Source organism: Homo sapiens, chromosome 11, assembly GCF_000001405.40.
Source record: "Homo sapiens chromosome 11, GRCh38.p14 Primary Assembly".
Classification (NCBI taxonomy): domain Eukaryota; kingdom Metazoa; phylum Chordata; class Mammalia; order Primates; family Hominidae; genus Homo; species Homo sapiens.
This window is the reverse complement of record NC_000011.10, coordinates 96778678-96781028: the sequence shown is the minus strand read 5'-3', so window position 1 is coordinate 96781028 and position 2351 is coordinate 96778678.

Here is a 2351-nt window from a genome sequence, read left to right as displayed (position 1 = left end):
ATGCTTAAACTAATACTAAAAATAACACCTACAATAGTTCAAATGTTTTTTCATGGCAAAGAGCTGCTTCATATCTACTGTGACAATTCCAGTTTCTATCAAGGCAGTCACTTGGGACAACTGCTTATTGATATCATGCTTTCTCCCAAATGTTTATTTTGTTTTGTTTTCTTATGTTTACTTTATGATTAATTTGTATTACTTTCTTTGGTCTCCTAAGGTGAAAGCTTAGGTTATTGAGTTTAGATTTCTTTTTCTAACATGCATTTAAAGCTATAACTTTTTCTGTAAGAACTTGATTTCTCAATATCCACAAAATTTAAGTTGTATTTTCTTTTACATTTATTTTTAATTTCATTTGAGACATCTTATTTGACACAGGTGTTTAGAAGTGTTCTGTTTAACCTCCAAGGATTTGTGCATTCTTCAAGTATCTTCTGTTTTGGTTTCTGGTATAACTTTAATGTGGACTGAGATTATTTCCATTTTTAAAAATTTACTAAGGTGTATTTATAGCCCAGAATGTACTCTATCTTTGTGAATGTCCTACACAAGCTTCAGAAGTATGTGTATCCTACTGTTGTTGAGTGGAGTATTTTACAGATGCCAACTGAAGCAAGTTGACTGATGCTGTATGTCTCTATATGCTTCCTGACTTTCTGCTTGCCTGATCTATCAATCATTGATAATGGGGTGCTGAAATCTCCAACTATACTAGTGGGTTTGTCTATTTCTTCTTTTAGTCTACAGTTTTTGCCCCCACGTATTTTGATGATGCATTGTTAGGTGCAAACAGCTAGGATTATTATGTCTTCTTGTAAAATTGACCGCTTATTATTATAATGCCTCTCTCTTTCCCTGATAATCTTTCTTTTTCTGAAATAGGCTTTGTCTGAAATTTATATAGCTACTCCAACTTTCTTTTGATTAGTATTAGAATGATATAGCTTTCTCCATCTCTTTTTTTTTAACCATCTGAATCGTTATATCTTAAGTAGCTTTCTTTTAAATAATATATACTTGGTCTTTTCTTATATCCATGTTTAAAATCTGCCTTTAGACCATCTATACTGCAAGCGATTGTTGATATATTTGAATTAATATTTACCATGTTTGCAACTATTTTCTACTGGTTGCATTTTGTTCTTTTTTTTCCCTCTCTTATCCAATTTAGTTTGGTTTGATTGAACATTTAGTTGAATGTTTAATTAGTATGTGTGTATGAATTATAATTCTTTGTGAAAATTTCTGAATAATTTCCTTACAGTTTACAATATGAATTTTTCATTCATCAAATTCACCTTCAACTAACATTATACCACTTTACTTGTAGCATAGTTCCTCTCTCCCATCCCTTGTGACATTGCTGCCACTCATTTCACTTACTCACATGCTTTAGCACACAATACAACATTACTATGATTACTTTCAACAGTTTTCTTTAGAGCTGTTAAGAATAAGTGAAATGTTTTGTTTTGCCATTATTTATTCTTTCTCTGTCATGCTTCCTTTTCCTAGATCCATATCATTTTTCTTCTCCATGAATAACTTATTTTAACCTATCTTTCAGGGTTGTCTGCTAGGGATGAATTCCCTCAGAATTTGTTTGTCAAGGAAAAGTCTTTATTTCACTTCCATTTTGGAGGATAATTTCAGGAGATACAGAATTTTAGGTTGGTGGACTTTTTCTTTCAACACTTTAAATATTTCACTCCAGTCTATTCTTCTTCATGATTTCTGATAAGAAATCCATGTTTTTCATAGATAAGGTTCACCACCAACATTATGACATCATCAAGATTTCCTCCTTTTAACTTGGTTTTCTGTAGTTTGAATATGATATGTCCAGGTATGACTTTCTTTGGTATTTATCCTGTTTGGTGCTCTCTGAACTTCTAGAATCTTTAGTTTGGTATCTATTAGTCATTTTGGAAAGTTCTCAGGCATTATAACTCCAAATATTTTTTGTCCTTCATCTTCCCTTTTTCCTCCTTCTGATATTTCAATTATGATCATGCTATATCTTTTGGATTGCCCCATTGTTCTTGATATTCTGCTCTGTTTTACTCATTCTATTTCTCTTGGCTTCACAGTTAGGGGTATTTCTATTTGCCCTATCTTCAAGTTACTGATTCTTTCCTTAACCATTTTCCAGACTATGATCAACCAACCAATGGCATTCTTCATTTTGTTTACACTGTTTTTGGTTTGAAGCACTTCCTTTTGATTCTTTTTAGAGTTTCCCTCACTCTGTTTTCACTACCAATCTCTTCCTGCATCCTGTCTGCTTTTTCTGTTAGAACCCTTAACATATTAAATACATCATTATTTTAAATAGCCTGTCTTCCAAA